The sequence below is a fragment of the Homo sapiens genome, chromosome 17, assembly GCF_000001405.40.
Source record: "Homo sapiens chromosome 17, GRCh38.p14 Primary Assembly".
Lineage (NCBI taxonomy): Eukaryota > Metazoa > Chordata > Mammalia > Primates > Hominidae > Homo > Homo sapiens.
The window spans coordinates 12,050,114-12,071,472 of record NC_000017.11 but is presented as its reverse complement, the minus strand read 5'-3'; the positions used below and the strand labels follow the sequence as shown (position 1 = coordinate 12,071,472).

The 21,359-nt window shown below is 36.4% G+C and overlaps 1 protein-coding gene across 6 annotated transcripts in view; it reads right to left on the bottom strand.

Moving 5' to 3' along the window:
* The window catches only part of MAP2K4 (mitogen-activated protein kinase kinase 4), a 122,952-nt gene that overhangs the window by 72,356 nt on the left and 29,237 nt on the right, over positions 1 to 21,359 (bottom strand). For 5 of the 6 annotated variants that reach the window (XR_007065381.1, XR_007065382.1, NM_001281435.2 and 2 more), the window contains one exon: positions 16,482 to 16,584. Coding sequence is in view for 3 of the 6 variants with exons in the window: in NM_001281435.2 (NP_001268364.1) it covers positions 16,482 to 16,584 (103 nt within the window). In the remaining 3 variants the exon portion in view is untranslated. Of the gene's footprint in view, positions 1 to 1,623; positions 1,685 to 16,481; positions 16,585 to 21,359 lie in introns of those variants that run through there. The other variant, XM_005256753.4, reaches the window with a different exon arrangement.

Below are 21,359 nucleotides of genomic sequence, written 5' to 3'. Positions count from 1 at the left end.
TCTAGTACTCCCTTTACTCTACTGCTTATGTTTGTGTCACAAAGGCTATCTTCTATGATTCAACTATGCCTCTATCACCTTGCCTTTGAAATGTGAGTTTAATATCTTCTCCAGCAGGTCAAAGGAAACACTAAGAACTGGCTATCCTTAATATACAATGTGATTTAAGAAGCCAAAACCCAGTTCTTCAATACCATCTGTAGTAGGGTGAACTATACACCACCCACCACACAAAAAAAAGATAGGTCCATCCAGAATCTCAGAAAGTAACCTATCTTTACGGATAAAATTAAAGATCTCAAAAAAGAGATTCTGGATTAGGTGGGCACTAAATAAAATAACTATCCTTATAGGAGACCAAACAAAGAAAAGGAGAAGATAGAGATGCACAAGACAGACACAGGGAAGAAGACCATAGAGATTACGGTTATGCTGCCACAAGCCAAGGAAGAGCAGCAGTACCAGAAGCTGAAAGAAAGGGGGGATCCTCCCCCAGAACCTTCGGGAGAAGCATGGCCCTGCCAACACCTTCAGATTTCTGGCCTCTAGAACTGTGAGAGAATAAATTTCTGTTGTTTTAAGCCACCAAGTTTGTGGTAATCTCACAGAAGCCTTGAAAAATCCAGTACACCATCTAAATCATGAGTCACAACCTTTTTCTGTAAAGAACCAGATAGCAAATATTTTAGGCTTTGCAAGCCACTAGTCTCCTGCAACTATGCAGCCAGATGGGTGTGGCTATGTTCCAATAAAACTTTACTTACAAAAACAAGCAAACAGGATGGATTCAGCTCATGAGCTGTAGTTTGCTGACTACATGATATAAATGATACCAAATGGTATCTAGCAACCTAAATTGCATCTATCATGCAAATAATCTAAATCATATTTTCTATATCCTTTTTCTCTTTTACATTTATAATTATGCTCTATATGATAAGCACCTTCAATTATCTGCCCAAATCCTATAGTTCTGTTTCCAGAATTTAATCTCAAGATACATTTCAGAATTTTTCTTGAAAATGGCCCACCAATCAACAGAGAGTGGAATTAGGGGCAGAAACCCTTCTAGGATTCTCTCATCACTTAGGTAAGTACGCTAAGATGGCAGCAAACCTCCTTGTTTAATATCCTGGACATCTCTCATATCTACCTATCTTTCAGCAAGTAATAGCTAATTATCTTAACAGATTTCTTTTTCCTGCACATGAGAACTTGATTTCTCAAACTTGACAATGTCTACTATTTTCCTTCAATAAATAAATAAATATCTTCTTGTGCCTAGAACCACTATCCGTAAGAACCTTTTATTATTTAATTAGTTTGAAGTATGTTTTCTCCTCTTATTTCACTATCACATTCTTCTACCTCGATCATCTGATCTTGATTTCTTCCCAATGCTATCAAATATACCTTCTTTCCCAAATCATTTCTTCCTTCTTTTTCCTAAGCAACTTTGACTGTATCAAGCCAGCATATACTAAAACGCCCCAAGCTGTTTTACTGTCTCCTCAGCATGCATATATATATATATATATATATATATATATATATATATATATATATATATATATATATATATGACTAATCTTCCTTAGACAGGAAAATAAAGGTAAGACATACCCTGCACATCACTGCAACTGTTCTTCTGTGTCCGTACTGTTACGATCTCTAGATGAATACTGCTTTATGCATCCTTCTGCAATGCAGCTCTGTTAATTCCGGAAATTTCCACAGTAAACTCGGTCTGTCAGTTACCATGGAAACTGCCTGCTTCCTGGCACTACCAACAAATGAGTATCTTTGCTGTGATCTAAGATGAGGCAAAAGGAAAAACTGAAAAATGAAATGTCCAGAAGAATGGCTCAAACATTCTAAATAGAAAATTTCAAATTCTGATACTCATATTTAGTGAACAGAATGTATTAGACAAATTAGATAAGTCTGCAGTATTCTGAAGTAGTACTGATTTATGACATACAAAGAAATGTTTTATCACCACAGAAAAGAGTAACATTAAAGAGGACAAGACAAACATTCATGTTTGCATCATGTTGCTATTGACTGTTTCCTAAGAGCTGATCCTGTGTCAGTTGTACTCTAAGTTTACCCTTAGAACAGTTTTTCTGGGCTATGCTTCTTCAAGAAAAGGTAAGGAAAACTGCCCTAAATCTATAGGTTACATGTTTTCATGAGATCCTTTCCCTGTTTAGGCCCCAATTTCCAGTGGCAGCTAAAACCTCTTCCCAAGTAAGTAAGAAATTAAGAGTAGTTTAAAGTGTATCTCAGGAGTTTTTGCCAACAAGGTAGCTTTACTAGCATTCTCAGAACATTAGACATAGCCAACCACAATTCCTTCCCAACTGCACTTTGAAACAATGCTAGATTTCTATAACATCATGCACTACCAGTTTGCTTCCTAATTATCAAGCATCTTTTAATTTTTGCCTGTCCCTCCTCTTCTATCCAACCTCTAAATGTTAGATTTTCTTGGGGCTCAGCCCTGGACACAATTTTCTCATCAAAATACATTCTCACTCTCTTCCTAGGCAACCCTTTCATCTATATGGCAGCAATTTTCAACTTTTTATCTCCAATCTACAACTTCACTTCTGGCACCAGACTCATATTTTCAACACCAGAGTATGTGATACATGCACATAAGCACAGAAACACATGTATACATAAATACATATACACACACGCTATATATATATATAATATATATATGTATGTTTTGATATCCCTAATAAAATGTCACAGGTCCCTCAAACTTAAATATTATCTAAAACTCGATCTTGCCCTATGACCCCTATTTACAGATGCTCCATACCCAGTAGTCTCCATCACAGTAATCGCAACTAAACCCATTAATTCAAGCCAGAATTCTACAAGTCACTATGAACACCTTCCTCCTTGTCATCATCTACATTCAAATTATCACCAATATTTATTAATTACTTCCAAAATGTCTTTACAGTCTCTCTACATGTACTGTCATCAATTTAATACTATTGAAGTCATGATAGGTGACTATTACGCTTTACCTACATTACCATAGTTTTATCAGGTCTCCCTAACTATATTCTTACCTCCTTTCAGTACATAGTCCACACGGCAGCCAGAATAATTACTTTAGACTGTAAATAATCAGTTTAAATTGTAAATCACTGACCTACTTACAACTTTTCCATAACTCCCCACTGCACTTTGGATGTCATCCAGCTCTTTATCTACAAGGCCCTACATTATGTGGCCCATCTCTCCATACCTAACTGTCTCTACACCCTTAATCTAAATTTGTTTGTTTTTCCTTTCTCATTCAGTCACCCTCCATGTGAACTGCCATTCCTTCCATTCCATGACAAGTTGAATATTTCCCACCTTGATAATTTCAAATACATGCGATTCCTTCCACTTGGAACACTCATCAATCCCTTCCCCAAATCTAGTAAAACTCACTCAAGTTTAGAAGCCTTCATTGACTACATTTTCACCACCCTCCTTCTAAATTAGGCCCATATTTCATTTTCTCATAGCACCTGGTTCTCTTCCTTTAATAGCAAGTAGGTGATTATAATTTTATACACACACACGTCTGTGTCTGCCTCTAAATCTCAAGCTTCATGAAGTAACAATCACATCTCTTTTTTCAACATGAAATACCTATGCCCACACCATAGTAACTAGCAGATGGCAGACATTCAACAAACATTTGCTAAATGTATGAAAGAACACATACTGGATTGCTTTGGTTTCTGGCAACTATGACTTGCTCCCAAAGCTCTGATGTTCTCCCTGGACTCTATGAGATATCCCTATAGCCATTCCCCAAATTCCCCTTTTCTGGCATCCATTCAAACCCCAAGGAATACACCTCTTATATCTGACTTCTGCAGCTCCTCAGTCAGGAAAAAGGTTCATCTGTGTAAACCTGCAGTGCCCGCTGTACCAGTGGTCCTAAGAAGAAGCAAATTTGCACTCCAAGGTTCATTTGGTAATGTCTGGAGACATTTTGGCTGTCACTAAACATTCTACCACGCACAGGACGACGGCCTCCCACAACAAAGAATTTTCCAATCTAGTATCTCAACAGTAACAAGGTCGAGAAAACACAGCTACTTCCAGTCTCTCCTATGACAAGAAAAGGGCTGAAAATTACCAATCTATGAAGAATTAAACATTGGTTAATTTTTAAAAGTACATTTCACCAGCACAAAGTTGTTCTCTAAAACATTGTTTTTAATTCAACAATGAAAATAATCTAAATAGCTACCAATAAGGAACTAGTTAAATATATAATACACCTATACAATGTAATGAATACTATATAACTAAGAATAGGTATGTGGGTGGGGCACAGTGGCTCACCCCTGTAATCCCAGCACTTTGGGAGGCCGAGGTGGGTGGATCACTTGAGGCAAGGAGTTCAAGACCAGCCTGGCCAACATGGTGAAACCCCATCTCTACCCAAAAATACAAAAATTAGCCATGTGGGCCGGGCGCGGTGGCTCACGCCTGTAATCCCAGCACTTTGGGAGGCCGAGGCGGGCGGATCACGAGGTCAGGAGATCGAGACCACGGTGAAGCCCCGTCTCTACTAAAAATACAAAAAATTAGCCGGGCGCAGTGGCGGGCGCCTGTAGTCCCAGCTACTCGGGAGGCTGAGGCAGGAGAATGGCGTGAACCCGGAAGGCGGAGCTTGCAGTGAGCGGAGATCACGCCACAGCACTCCCGCCTGGGCGACAGAACGAGACTCCGTCTCAAAAAAAAAAAATTAGCCATGTGTGGTAGTGCATGCCTAAAACCCAGCTTCTTGGGAGGCTGAGGCACAAGAATCACTTGAACCTGGGAGGTGGAGGTTGCGGTGAGCTGAGATTGCACTACAGCACTCCAGCCTGGGCAAGAGTGAGAAAATCTCAAAAAACAAAGAAGAAGAAGAAGAGGAGGAGGAGGAAAAGGGTATGTGTTAATTCAGAAATATTTTCAAGATGTACTAAGTTACTAAGTGAATAAAAAATCAAGCTACAAAAAAGTGCAGAAAAAAACTGCTATTGTGTGTAAATATTCTTTAAGGATCTATATAAATTATGTATTCTGACATATAATAAGCTTTTCTGCAAGGCATTTTACATTTAACAGGGTTATCTTTGGAGATAAATATTAAGGGCATGAAGCTGATTTTTTGTTTTATAACTTTCTGCACCAACTGAATTCTCTTACCAGAAGCAGGTACTACTGATTTTTTAAAGGGTAACATGAACTACCTGGATGATAAGATAATGGGCCATTTTGGCTTTCTTCTTTATACTTTCTCTGTATTAAAAAAAAAAAAAGAAAGAAAGAAACAATAGTAAATGTTATTTTTAAAGCACACTAAAAACACATCCCCTCAACTTTTTAGGGGACTCTAGCTACTTAGGGGTACACTATACCTGATGTGGTGCAACAGATACTCTAGAATAATTCTCAAAAGAAACTTGATAACCTTCTTAAAAATTTCACTCTAGGGTTCTTTCAAACATTATGAAAGGGGAAACCACATGGGCAGAAATAAAATTTATCACAGTATTGTTCCACAGGCATAAAAGCTGAATTCATTAAAAGCACAGTGTTCATATATTCATCAAGTCATCTAAATTGTCGAAATACATAGGTGCTTTGAGAACAAGGACAGAAAACCACAAATACTGCTCAGTGAGAGTAAAAAAATCTATCACTATAATTTTTATTGTTACTGGCCAGGCACGGCGGCTCAAGCCTGTAATCCCAGACTGTGGGAGGCGAGTCAGACAGATCACCTGAGGTCAAGAGTTCGAGACAAGCCTGGCCAACATGGCGAAACCCCATCTCTACTAAAAATACAAAAATTAGGCCAGGCGCAGTGGCTCATGCCTGCAATCCCAGCACTGTGGGAGGCTGAGGCGGGCAGATCACCTGAGGTCAAGAGTTCAAGACCAGCCTGGCCAACATGGTGAAACCTTGTCTCTACTAAAAATACAAAAAACTAGCCAGGCATGGTGGTGTAGGCCTGTAATCCCAGCCACTTGGGAGGCTGAGGCAGGAGAATCACTTCAACCCAGTAGGCGGAGGTTGCAGTGAGCCGAGATCGCACCATTGCACTCCAGCCTGGATGACAGAGCAAGACTCTGTCTCAAAAAAAAAAAAACAACAAACACCAATAATAATAATAATAATAATAATAATAATAATATATGTATATATATAATTGTTATTGTTCAGGATTGCTTTTAAAATTGAGGCATCATTTACATAGAGTGAGATGCACAAATCATAAGCATATGTGGCTCAATGAGTTTTGACAAATGCAGACACCTTTCTATTTCACAAAATACAGCAAGATACAGAGCATTCCATCACCTCAGAAAATTCCCTGGTTCCCTGGTGCCATTCTTGTCAATCTCCTCCAGAGGCAAGCACTGATCTGATTTCAATCACCACAGATCTGTTCTGCCTACTCTAGATTTCATAGAGATAGAATCAGTATGTTCTCTTTTGTGTCTCGCTTCTTCTGCTCAGCATTTTCAGAGATCCATCAATATGACTGCAGGTATCAGTATTTTCTCCACTTTATTGAGGAAGAGTATTTTGTTAAATAATATACCATAATTTGTTTCTTCATTCTTCCATTATTGAACACTCTGGGTTCTTTCTAATTTGGCGGCTATTCTGAATAAACTTTCTATGAACATTCACTTACAAATCTTTCTGAGAGTATTTTCATCTTAGGCAAATAACAAAAGGTAGGACTGCTGGGTCAGGGGCAGGTGCTTGTTTCATTTTATTAAAAACCTAGCAGAGTTTTCTAAAGTGGTTGTACCATTTTCTGCTTCCTCAACAATATAGGAGAATTCTGCTTACACCACATATTTGCCAAGATATTGCCTGGTCTTTTAAATTCTAGCCCTTCGGGTGGAAGTGTAGTGGTATCACCTTTTTGTTTTAGTCTGCATTTCTCTTATTACTAATGTTCTTATGGCTGTTTCTCATATACTTATCATCCATTCCAATGCCTTCTTTGTGAAGTGTCTATCAGAGTCTTTAAACCATTTTTCAAATTGGGTTCTTTGGGCTGGCCCAGCGGCTCAATGCCTGTAATACTAGCACTCTGGGAGGCCGAGGCAGGGGGATCACTTAAGGAGAGTTCAAAACCAGCCTGTGCAACATAGCAAGATCCCACCTCTACAAAAAATTTTTTTAAATGAGTCGGGTGTGATGTAATGTGCCTGTAGTCCCAGGTACTCTGGAGGCTAAGCTATGATGCACTCCAGCTTTGGTGACAGAGTGAGATTTTGTCTCAAAAACAAAAAAGTAAACTGGGTTGTTTTGAGTTTTGGTTTATTATATATACAAAAGTCCTTTGTCAGATATATATATATACATTGTGAATGTTTTCTTCTAGTCTCTTTCTCTCTCTCTCTCTCTCTCTCCCCCCCTTCCCCTCTCCTCCTCCCTGCTTTCCTCCCCGCCCCCCGCCCCCTGACAGAATTTTGCTCTTGTCACCCAAGCTAGAGTGCAGTGTTATGATCTCTACTTACGGCAACCTCCGCCTTCCAGATTCAAGCAATTCTCTCGCCTCAGCCTCCCAAGTAGCTGGGGTTACAGCCATGCGACACCATGTCCAGCTAATTTTGTATTTTTAGTAGAGATGGAGTTTTACCATTTTGGTCAGGCTGGTCTTGAACTCCTGACCTCAAGTGACCCGCCTGCCTCGGCCTCCCAAAGTGCTAGGATTACAGGCATGAGCCACTGCGCCTGGCCTTGCCTGTTTATTTTCTTAAAAAACTTCTGATGAGCAGAAATTTTTAATTTTGATAAAATCCAATTTATTATTTTTTAGTGGTTTCTTTGTCCTATCAAAGAAATTTCTGCCTATGCCAGATAACAAATATATTTTGGATGTTTTCTTTTAGAAGCTTTATAGAGTTTTTGCTTTTACTTTTAGGTCAATGATCCATCTTGAGGTAATTTTTGCATATGGTATGAAGTAGAAATTAAAATTTATCCTTTCAAACCTTTTTCCAGTTTGTTACATCACTATGAAAAGCCTATTTTTTTCCCACTGAATATTATAAGCACCACAGTCAAAAATAAATTGACTATACATGTGTGTTTGTCTACTGGACTTTCTATTATATTGCATTGATCTATTCGTTTATCCTTAATATCCTTCCACCAAGCCTTAATTACTGTAGCTTGCAGGTTGTACTTGTAGGCTGACTGTGTTACAGATAACCTTGAAATCAGGTCGTTTTAAGTCCCCCAACTTACTGTTTTACAAATTGTTTTTAGCTAGGTCCTTTGCATTTTCATACATATTTTAGAATCAAAATGTCACATTACACATATTTTAAAAGTCTGATGGGATTTCACTGAATCAATATAGCAATGTCAGAAGAACACACATCCCAGATGAATAAAATAATAATAAATTGTCTTTCCTAGAATGAAAGAGTGGTTTCTAGATTGAAAGAGTCCACTGAGAGCAAACTACAAGGAAAAAGAAAGGTAAGGGGAGGAGGGAAAGGAGGGAGAAGACTGGGAAAAGGGAAGAGGGGAGGTGGGGGGGAAGAATGCAAACACAGCAAGATTTCAGAACGTGGGGAAAAAGAAAAATCCCCACAATAAATCACAAAAGAAAAAAGAGATCACATACAAAGGTTCAGGAATCAAAGTCACATCTAACCTTTTAAAGTAACCATGGAAAATAGAAAACATTGTCGAAATACAAACACAATTCTGGAGAAAAATTTCTACCCCAGAATTCTATACCCAATAAAACTGCTGATCTATTATGAGGGTTATTTATTTAAAGACATTTTCAAGGCCAGGCAGTGGTTCATGCCTGTAATTCCAGCACTCTGGGAGGCCGAGGCAGGAAGATAGCTTGAGTTCGAGACCATCCTGGGCAACATAGCAAGACCCTGTCCTCTACAAAATAATTTAAAAATGAGCCAGGGATGGTGGCACATGCCTATAGTGCCAGCTACTCAGAAGGCTAAGGTAGGAGAATCACTTGAGTCCAGTGGTTCAAGACTGCAGCGAGCTATGATAGCACCATTTACTCCAGCCAGGGCAACAGAGCAAGATCCTGTCTGAAAAAAGACAAAGGCATATTCAGGCATACAAACACCCAAAAAGCTTGAGAAATAATTAAAAACTACTAAGAAAGAATTCTTATCTCAGGAAGACTTAGAATATATACTCTACCAAAATGAGAGTGGGAAAGTGAAAAATAAAAAAAGATGAAATCCCGGAAACAGATAATCAGAATCAGGCATTCACAAAACAATGGCAACAGCCCTGTGAAGCAGACCTCAAGTGCAACCACTCCAGATTAAAGCAAGAGTATGGATGGATAGCTAACTCAAAAAAAGAAAAAAAGGGGGGGGAGAGGGGGAGAACTGAGTGACCAACTGATGTATTTAACTATGTTGAGAGAAGATTCACAGTGAACCATATATGAGGCAGTTATTAACTCTGGGGAAAACAAATTTGCTCAAGAACAATAATATAATCATACTGTTACTCAGTTGTAGATAATTTAAAAAAAAACACACTGAAAAAAGTTACCTTCATATAGCAAATTTCCTTAATAATAGATAAAAGTTTCCAGAAACATACATACTGCAAAGATAAAAGGCCTTATAATATTCTGATTGAAATCAGAACTCAAAAACATAACTGCCTGATTAGAAATGGTTGGAAAACTCATCAATAGCTAAGAAGTCAGATGTATCTTCAAGGAGCAGCACTTAGAAGTACTGTGGGTTAAAAAACCAGGGCTATCTTCTAATGTCTGCCTCAGTCTCTGATTCAAGAACAAAGATGATTTATAACACCAAAAGCACACAACTCAACAGCATGTATCATTAATCTATGCAAATACATATTCCAGAATTAGCATCCACCACCTCAGCTATAAACATCCAGCTTGAAGGGAATGTGAATCTCAAGGGGGTAGGGGCCCACAAAGAAAATCAGTTCTACCACTCCTATTACCACTGCCACCTCTGTCGAGAATCACTTCTCCAGTGAATTGCTGACTTATGGAAGTGTACCACAGCCTCAGGTACACTGAGGTGGAATGTGGGACTAAAGATAAGACTGAATATCCCTAAACTGTAACATTAAGAAGTACAATGATCTAAGCTTTAAAGATTATCCCAAACACAGCATCATTATTTACTAGAGCCAAAAGGTACAAACAACCCAAATGTCCAACAACAGATGAATGGCTAAACAAAATGCTGCATACACATAACAATAAAATAATATTTATTCACCCTTAAAAAGAAGGGTGGAGAAAGATACATTCTACAACATGAATGAACCTTGAAGACATTATTTTGAATGAGATAAGCTAGACACAAAATAAATATTGTTATGATTCCACTTATGAGAGGTACCTAAAAAGTAGTTAGATTCATAGAGACAGAAAGTAGAATGGTGGGCGCCAGGGCTAGAAGGAAGGGAGAATAAGGACTTATTGCTTAACGGGTACAGAAGTTCGATCTGAGAAGATGAAAAAGTTCTAGAGATGGATGATGGTGACAAATGTACAACAATGTGAACACAATTAATCCCAATGAACTGTATACTTAAAATGGTTAAGATAAAAATTTTTACGTTATGTATATTTACTACAGTAAGAAAAAAGATTCGCAGCAGTAGCACCAAACCAGCCACACACACACACGCGCGCACACACACACACACACACCCCATAGTATTTAACACATTTGAGATTAAACATCATCTATTAATACATACCCATAAATACTTCTACCATTACCGCTATTTTGTAAAAGTGGTCCACCACAGAAATGCAGAGATTTCACAGTATCATGATTGCTTCAAAAAATTTCAGAGACAGAAAAAAACTTCCAAATTCATGTAGATTAGAGGTATTCACACTTAGAAATCCACCAGAGATGTCCTGGGACTATTCTGGGGAATGAAGGCAGACAACGCTACAAAACTCTCTCCCACCTCACAAACACTTCAGTCAGCACAGTTCCTCCTTTATCTTTTTAGCCTATCAGTTTTGTACATGAGACTTTATTTAAAGAAGGCAGTGCAAGGCTGGCTTAATTCTCTCCCCTTCCTATTCATTATATAAAATAGTGTATGTCGCTATTCTAATTCAATGCCTAAATTGAGAGCAGAATTAAGTGATAAAGTCAAGGACACAGAGATAACGACAACACCAGGATAGAAATCCAGACTCCTAAATTTCTACCCATTGTTATTTCTTTTTAAAAACAATTTTTTTTTTTTTTAATAGAGACAGAGTCTCAACTCTTACACAGGCTGGAGTGCAGTGGTACACTGTAGCCTCAACCTCCAGGGCTCAACTGACCCTTCTACCTCAGCCTCCCAAGTAGCTGGGACCACAGGCGCACACCATCACACGTGGCTAATTTTTTCTATTTTTGTAGAAATGGGGTTTTGCCATGTTGCCCAGCCTGGTCTCGAACTTCTTGGCTCAAGCAATCCTCCTGCCTCGACCTCCCAAAGTGCTGGGATTGCAGGCGTGAGCAACTGTGCCCGGCCTCGTCATTAATTCTAAGACAGCAACGTTTATAAGACACAGTTCTCACAATTTAACCAAGAGAAGAAGAAATTCTAAGTTTTAAGATAAAGTTCTACTGAGAAGGCTCATCAAGAAATACGAGGAATATTAGTTATTAACTAGGGACTTTGAAACCTCTTTAAACTACTCCTAGATGTTCTATAGCACAACTGAGTCTCTGTCTGTTCCAATGTAATAAACAAAGATAAGGGAAATCCTAGAGATCCTCTGGTCTAAAGAGAGCACTTTAAACTTAAAACGTGTGGTTCCAAAACTCTTAAGCCCCAAAATGTTATCTGCATCCACCACTATTTATTTCCAGTGTTAACTTTTAAGCTAGTGTTTTTTCTTGACAATTGTGATATGTTATGAAGATAAAAGGGATGTTCTTTCAGAATAACAATTGTACTGAATATATTCTAAACGACTCAGTACACTGAGAGCACTCAACCATAACTCACTATCATGAAAACACAGAATGTTTAACAGAATATCTACTTCTGTTTGTCAAATTCATATACACAACATGATTTTAACACAAGCTGGCCACATTTATAAGAATATCCCTAGAGTATCAAAAAGATTTATAGTGTTTAGTAGAATCCAAACCTGATGAAAATTTAAAAGGTAGCCACACATTTTTCCTTTGCTTTTTCTTTGTACTCTTTGGCTATCCAGTTTAATCTTTCATTTTAAAAGCCAAGGGAAAAAATGTTAGTGGGTACAAGAGTCTCTATTATAATATGCATTTTCTGTCAAAAATATTTCTAATTTTAATCATTGATAATTAAAAATCAAGGTTTCCTGTTCAGGTTGTCTCCTCATCCTCCAAGATCCCCCCAAAAATCCTTTTTTTAAGGAAATAAGCAATAAATTAAAAGAATTAAATTTCTGAATGCCTGAGTAGATAAAAATGTATCACAAAGAAAAACTAATCGATTTCAAGAGAAGGAACTCTAGTTTAAAAGACTGATCAGCTAACTGCATAGAATGCAGGACCTTGTATAGACCTCACTTCAAACTATTAAAAATAAAAAAACTAATGAGGTCATCTGCTTATTTGATGATATTAAAGATTTATTCTACTAGATGTAGCAATGGTACTATGATTATGTCTTTTAAAAGCAGCTCTTATCTTTTATAAATGCATACTAAAATATTTGTAGATTGCATAACATCTGAGATTTGGTTAAAACTAAGGGGTTGAAGGAAAAGATAAAACAACATTGGCCATGCTATTAACTGTTGAAGCTGTTAAAGCTGATTGACAGTAAAGACAGATTCATCTACCACTTTACTTTTGGGTAGGTATGCAATTTTCCATAATAAAAGGTTTAAAAATAAACAGAAAAAACTATAACCTATAACACATGGTAGGAGGCAGGCATGCAGTGAATATGAGGGACAAATCATGGTCCCAATAGAACACTGGATCAGAGAGAATTCATGGTCAGAAGAAATGAAGGCCTAGAAACCAGAGTTAATTAAACTTCTTTCTATAAGGAAGTTCTAGGCCAGGCGCAGTACCTCATGCCTGTAATCCCAGCACTCTGGGAGGCTGAGGCGGGAGGATCCCTGGAATCCAGGAGTTCAAGACCAGCCTGGGCAATATAGTGAGACCCTGCCACTTAAAAAAAAAAAAAAAAAAAGAAAGGTCTAGTTAATTCCACTTTTCCTCTTTATTCTTCCCCTAAAATAAAAAGGGGGCATGTCTTCAAAGAGAACAAACACATCTGGAGAGAACCAGGCTTCCTAAGGTGAATTTTGGCTCTACTAATTCTAGCATTGGTAATATTCCTGGCCTAAGAGCTAGCTCTCAAAATACTCACAGAAAAGTAAAGCCAAGCCCACCAGGTGATGATCTATAACCAAAGCTTCCATTCAAGAAACAATCAAGAACAAGACATGAAAAAAAAATTATAAGATGTAAAAAAAAACTGAGAAAGAGGTAAAAGAAAAACTGATCCTTGAGGAAATCAATAATTCAAACAACAGAAAAGAATTTTTAAATTCCCTATTTTGTATCCAAAATTAAGAATAGAATCCTAAGAAAATGCCACAATCAACTCTTGGAAATTAAAACTGATTGCCAAGATTCCATTTAGGGGATGGAAAATAAAGAAAATCTCCCAGGATACAGAGTAAGAAAACAATGAGACGGAACACATTTTTTTTTAGAGTCTAGGATACAGGGGATATAGGCAGTCCAACATCCTAGTAACACAAGTTTCAGGAGAAGATGATAGGAAAAACATGAAGGAAATGTATCAAAAGGAAAGCAGCAGCAATTTTCCCAGAAAAAGAGATACATGAATCTTGAAACTAAAAGGGTTAATCTGATACATGGGAAGATGATGCAATTTGAGGCTTATCCTCATATAATTACAGAATATCAAGAATAAAGAAAACAGGCTAAAAGATTCCAGTGAGAGAGAGAAATAGGTAATCTATAAATAACATCCCTGCTACAATTAAACAGATCTACACATGGTTCCCAAAACTTCTCTTGTGCATACGCTCACCAGAATGCCACTGTCCCTTGTCTTCTTCACTCAACCTTCCCTGCCTGTCTTTCAAAATCCAGTAAAATCTTGTTCTTCTGGGAAGCATTTAATCAAGTAGGTTTTCTAAAATGATTTACCCCTTGTACACCTTTAATTTGACATTCAATCCATATTACCTTATGCCTTACTAAAATTACGACAGCCAATTGTCATTTCTTGGAATTTTATTTAAACTGTTGGTTCTCAGAAAAAAAGAACACTGTCTTACAATTTTTTTTTTAATCTTGCAAAGGATCCTGCATCCAGGAGACATCAAATGCCAAGGAGATCTGAAACCAGATCCTGTGACATATCTTAACTTCATTAGCTTGCTTATTTCATCTTATCTTTTCCTAAATTCATGAACAAGTTTTATATTCACATCTGTAATTATTAAAGTTCAAGGAAATTTTAGGAGAAAAAACATATAAATGTTAAGAGATATCTTATTTCAAAACTCCCACAAACTACAAGTTATGTTTTTCTAATTGCAAGTACTCATCCTAAACAGAAACTAACAACTGTTTTTAGTGCTTGATGGCAAACAACTCAGAGGAAGAGTACAAAAGGATACCTTTTGGAAGGGGCTGGGAAGGTAGAGGAGATAATGTTGTTCTAAGTAATAAAACAGTTATCTCTGACCAGTAACAATGCTAGTAGTTACCTATTCCTAACCCAGAACAATTGACCTGTACAATAAAAAACTTACAACAAAGTCTGGGTCTAAAATTTTTACATACCAGAATCAAGCTCTAAAGATTCTATCATAAGGTAAAACTACCTATTACCATGTCCTTTCAAATTTTAAATACTTGCTGGGAAGAAACAAAGGATGAGAAATCTAGCTGGCTATAGGTTTATTATAAAACATTAGTTAAGAACAAAACAAAAAATAAAACCTGAACTCAACTTTGGAAGAAAGTTTTTTTCCACCCTGTGTTTACTATTTTTTAAAAAATTTTGCTCCATGAATTCCACATACATAAAGAAACTCCAGAGGGAAGACAGTACAAATAGATGAATGTTTTTCCAGTTTTAATTTAAGTCAGGTTGTCTTTCTCCTTGTCCAAAAAGGCTTTTAAAAAAGAAAGATCTGATAAGTTTGGTGATTACTGCTATATCCTTTCCTTCTTAGACTTCCAACATATGGTTCAGCTAGTAACTAAGGTAACAGAAGGGGGCTATGTTAAAGAATTAGTTTTGCACTAGCTTTCACTACAAATTCTAAGAAATAAGGAAGGAGGTTCTTTTAAGAATTGTTTCCTTGCTGCTGAAATTCTGACTAATTAATAAGTACTAAGTTTCCTTCCTCAAGATAGCCCCTACTTGATGTTTCAGAGAAGGTAAAAAGAGTGGGACTCTAGGCTGAGCTCTGACAAGAAGTGTGATTATGAACACCAGTCTAATAAAATTAATAGACAATTGAGAAAAATAAATTGTTACTACACTTTTTATTTAAAATATCTTTCATTCCCTCTAAGGCTACAAGTGAAACTACTCCCTTCTAGACATTGCTGTTTTAAAAATATTTTAAGCATCTCTTTTGCAAGACACTACCTTCTACCAATTTGTTACTGTTTGTAAATACAATGCATACCAAATTCTGAAAGAAGAGAAAATAGCAATAAAAGTGCCTCTTTGGGAAGAATAAATGTATTTTAAGCCTAATAAGATCTAGATGCAAATTGTTGAGAAATTACTTAAAAAAAAATGTATCTGCCAGCTTTTTAATCATACCTTACACCACTTGCTTTATAGTTCTCAACATCGAAACTAGCTCAAAATTATTTTTATGGACATGGTTATAAAAGTACAGCCACTGGCCTTCATTTTCATGATAGGTTAGGATGGGAAATAAGAAGAGGTTTTTTAATATTTCACATCACTTAAATTCAATTGAAGGTTAATGTAAAATATTGTTCTGAAGGTATTGCTTTATGTTAACTAAGATGCTCTAATATTTTCACTAAGATGCTACAATATCATTTCTATTGTTTAAAAATTCAGTAAATGAAATAACCACTGATATGTGTACACTCACATGTACACAACTCTTTCAATTTACTATGACATAGAAATCTTGCAGGAATCTAGCTTATTAAGATGGGACTCTATTTTGTCACTAAGTGGTGAAAATTTGTACAGTTGGACAGAAGACAGTCAAATTTCCTAAATGCAACTTGCAATTTAACTGGAACTCCAGAAGGAAAAGAATAAACAATATTCCCAGAGAGTTTAGTCAGAGAAATTATACTGACATCTCATAATTGGAAAAATTCATAAAATACAGTAACTTTAAAATCTTTGCTTGAGTTGAGCCTTTGATTACCAAGAATACTCACATGTGTGGGTTTTGAACTCCTGTAGGATTGGGATTCAGAGTAAACCTTGCTGTAGATTTGAAAGGTGGATTTGCAAAATTCAACTTCAGTGCTTTGCGTTTACCTGAGAAATAACAAATAAAAAGTAAAAGTTTCAAGTACTACAAAACAGGTACTATTCTGAGGGCATAAGAAAGTCACACCAAAAGGCAAGAGAACTTGCTTTAACAAACAGTTAATATAGGACAATATTTTGAAAGGCAATGAGGAATTTCTTAAACTAAGAAAAAATAAAATAATCTAAAGTTGTTACTAACTACAAATCATTCACTAGGCTATGATACAATAGATAGAATGCTATCACTTCAAGTTTCCATTATTCAGGGAAGTTAATACTTTTGCAAGTGAAAATACTATTATAAAAATCAATTATCTCAGTAGATATACTGAAAAATTCTAAAAATATTACCATCTGTTCAGTGTTATACTTAATGCCCTCAGTTTAATAAATATCGTTTTCCCTCATTTTAATGAATATAAACAACAGAGTGAAGAATCTGAAAAATTTGCTAAAAACATTACGGTAGAGTAAACTTCAAGTTAGTAATACAAGTATTCTAAATAATTATTTCCATGAAGCTGTTTCTTTAGGGTAGGAAGGGAAGAGATACCAATGTTTTTTATTACCCAAGTAAAACCACCATGGTAGAAGGGCAGAAAATGCAAAAAAAGATCAAATATATTAAAAATGTTACATATACACCTATACAATACATAGGGTTAAAATTTTACATAAACTTATCAATCCAAGTATCTCAAAATAATCAGTTTACTAACTACTGCAGACTTTTTTCTATACATAGATAGGGACATGTATTTTTTCACTACAATTGAAATCAGACCATGAAAATGCTTTGTAAAATGCTTTATTCACTAACATTTCTTTCTATATCAATAAGTCTTACAGAATCATTTCTTTAGGACTTAAAAGGATACCTTGTAACAGAACTGAATTTTTTAAGCATTTGCAGCATATCTTGGTTTCACATTCACCTTAGAGACACTTTTTCCTGAACTCACTCTCTAGAGTTTATTATACAATTAACTACTCAAAAAATATCTCTGCAATCCAAACACTTTCTGACCTCAGTGGATGAGGATTTAATAGAGGGTTCAAACTGTAAATGTGAGATCTGAAAATCTGACGGAGCCACACTGGATGGAGAAGATGGCAAAGAGACAAGAGCACAGAGCTCCTTGCCACGGCCCCTAGATCTGCTTTCAAAGATAAGCCTCCTTTCTACCAGATCATGTGAATTCCCACGAAGACCAAACACATCCATTTTCAGAAATAAGGTTAGTACAGTATGACTTTTCCACATAATGTAGAGGAAGGACATTCAAACAACATGTGCAAAGGGTACACTAGGAAACATAGCAGATATGACTGTATTTAAAAAAAAAACAAAAACCCTCAGTATATTACCAAAAAACAAAACTAAAAAAAAATTGAACCTTGGGAAAACTCTTGCAATACAAAAATCAGTAGCTCTAAATATATAAAGACATCATAGAAATCAAGAAAAATAGAAAAAAAGTGATAAGAATATGAGCAGTAAAGACAAATCAAGGGAAAATATAAAAAGACACTAACACCAAAAACATTTTAAGCTTTTGTTCATATGAAAATGGCAAAGTTTGAAGGTTTTATATTATATATACATAATGATAACATGATGATCAGAATGGCTAGGTAGAAGAATCACTAATAAGATATATTGCTGGTAGAAAAACTTTCTGTGAGAGGTTCAGCAATATACAAAAAAAAAGGTTTTTTTAGTAAATATGCTCTTTTACTTCTTGAGAATTTTTCTTTAGAAAATATTTAAAGATAGAGGATTACTCCCGGGTCTTGAAACCAAATGGAATTTGCCCTGGATAATACTCAGAGTTTTACCCATGCCTGATTTAAATGATTTTCATAATGGGATTTGGGATTTTTGAGCTGGTAATATTTAGGTGAGATTTACATTTGAGTTAATACTGTAATGAGTCAAAATTTTGGAGACGCTGGGGTAGGGTAAATGTATTTTGCACATGGGAAGGATATGAATATTTGGGGCCCAGAAAACAGACTGTAATGGGCTGAATGGTGGTCCCCAAAGATACTAAGCTCCTAATCTCTGGAACTTGAACCTATTAATTACCTTAATATGGCAAATCGTTTACAGAAAAAATTAAGTTAAGGAACTTTGCTATCACAATTTGAAGAAAATCTTTACAAACTCCTCAAATCAAAAACTGAGCATATGTCATGTAGTCTGTGTTTGAAACCATCTGGCACATCATCCATTACCTCCGTGTGAAGAAAAATTAATATAAGACTAAGATAAAATGCAAGACAAGGACAGAACAAAGAACTATTGTGAAAACTATCCAAAGAAAAACAAAAATTGGTCCTTTCTTAGAAAGCCCAATTTGACGGAATAGTAGCTAACCTTACCAGATAAACAATAAAATATATTACAACAGTTAAAACTTAAACTGTTTTCTTGAATATAAGTATTTATACTGAATACACAGAGAGATTTTTTTCAGCATTGCATTCACATTTAAATAAAAACTAAATTGAAAGCTTTAAAGGCCATTAACTTCATAAACGTACACCATGATGAAGAGAATGTGATTTAAGTTACATAAATTAGATTTAAACACAGTCTACACTTCAGAGACATCTGCAATTATCTTGAAAAAGTCCAAATTTATATTCTGATCATTTACTAACAAAACACACTAAGTAATTCTGTAGGTTTCGAAGCCTTTCCAAGCAAAGATCACTCAAAGCCTAAAACAAGTGCCAACGAGCTTAGCACATGATCAAGTTACCTTGCTGGGTCTCATCTGTGTACCCCAACTCTTCAAATGCTGATCAGTTTAAGATGAACTTGAAAGGCAGTTTTGAGGAGGAAAAGGAAGGCCCCAAAATGTCAACCGAAGGTGAGATTCAAGAAAAGTAGAAAAATAGCTTTTACAATACTCAGGAGAAGCTGTTTCTGGCTACCTGGAGGCATGAGCTTTTTTTTTTTTAAAAAAAGGCATCTTCTCCTCTCCCATTCACTTTCTCTAAGTACTAGAGCCTCTACTGGGGCTGGGTCCTTCTCTCCTTTACTTCTTTTTCAAGGGTCCCTCAAAAAAATCAAAACCGAAAGGCAATCTGTCACCATGTATTCAGATATTTTTAATGACAAAAAATTACAAGCAAATAGGACATTAATATGAATTTTTTTCAAAAACTTGAAACAACTTTCACAGGGAGAAAGGAGGGACGTGATACTATAAATGACCTGTGAAGATTTTTAGATGCTAACAAAGATTGAAATATTTGTACAACAGGGTTTAAAATAACTGATCAAAAACATTATGAATTTGTGATTATAATAACCCCTTTGGTGGGACTGTCATATCATCAATTTCTAACCAGTCAACACAGATAAACATTGTCCCTTTAACTATAGCAGGAGAGAAACGAGGCATCAAACATCCTAAAATATTTATACAGAAGCGGTTTCCTGCGAGAGATTCTCTGTATACCTAAAACCTTAGCTCTGTGCCTGATACAGAAAACACTTCCAAATGTTTATTGATTTGGGAATAAAGTTGACATGGACAGCCTCAGACAACTTAAGCCTATATGGTTATTGGCTGGAGTAAATCTTTGTTGTTTGCAACCAAGAACCCTGACTTAGGAACAGTACCTGTCCTCATCACACTTCCAAAGCACTGTTCCACCCCTCAAAGCAATACTGCCTACTTTTTTCATGCAATGGCTTGTTTAAAAGATGAGAATATTTGTTCAACATGCTGGGAAAATTAGAATTGCAGCTGGCCCAGAGGCTGGCCTAGGCATTGAGCAGTCCTGTCCCCACTCAGCCACTCCAAGGCTGAGGGCAACAATCTGTCAGAATCATCCTTGAAATTCTGGTTTCAAAACTCTGCCTTAAGAGAACAGCCAGCACCTTTCAAACAAGCTTTTCACAGCATCGGCACACAGTGTCTTCCTCAAATTTCTCATGAGAAAAGCACTCCCAAACATGGAATCATCAAGAATATTAAGAACTGTAATCCTGAAGAAAGGGATTGGTCAAGTGTATCCACATTCACTGAGGCCTAGGAATACCCTTTGTCTAGTTGTGAGCAACTCACTGACTCACAGAATATTGAAGTTGGAGGGAAGACACCTTCCAGGTTTATTTAGCTTTAAAAACAAGATGATAAAGAGCCCTGAATATTCTCCCTCCACTAACTTCTCAAGCAATACAAACCTTTTTAACATTGCTTTCCACAACCAGCTAAGCTGAGCATATAGTTTGCTTCGATCTTGGCCAAAAACCTCAACACGGGCAGTTGAGAGTCCACTACTCAATACAAAATCTATGGAATCTCTGCAATCTAGGTTACCAAAAGCATCTCTCCTTCACATTTTATAGAACAGCAAAAGGTGTCAGTTCCTCTATTAAGAGCCAGCATTATTTAGTTTCCAAAAACATCAGTATGTCCCTCAGGAAGAAACACTTTACACTGGGCTCACCTTACCATCCTCTCATCCTCAAGTCTGTTTCCATCAAAAAATTGTAAACAATTTTCTGCTTTAAATTTTTAACTATCTTGATTTATCTTTGAACTCTGCAAATCACCTATAACAGTACCTCAGACAAAACAGCAGTTCAACAAATATTTATTAAATTAGAATTATTAGTAGATTGTTTTTCTTATCAACATTTCACTGCCCCCTGCCCCCTGCCGCCATCTAATGGGCTTGTTTCGTTTCATTATATCACAGGAAAGCAAGATTCTGTTACCTGTATGGTCAGAATCAGAGAACTACAATCACTAGAATCC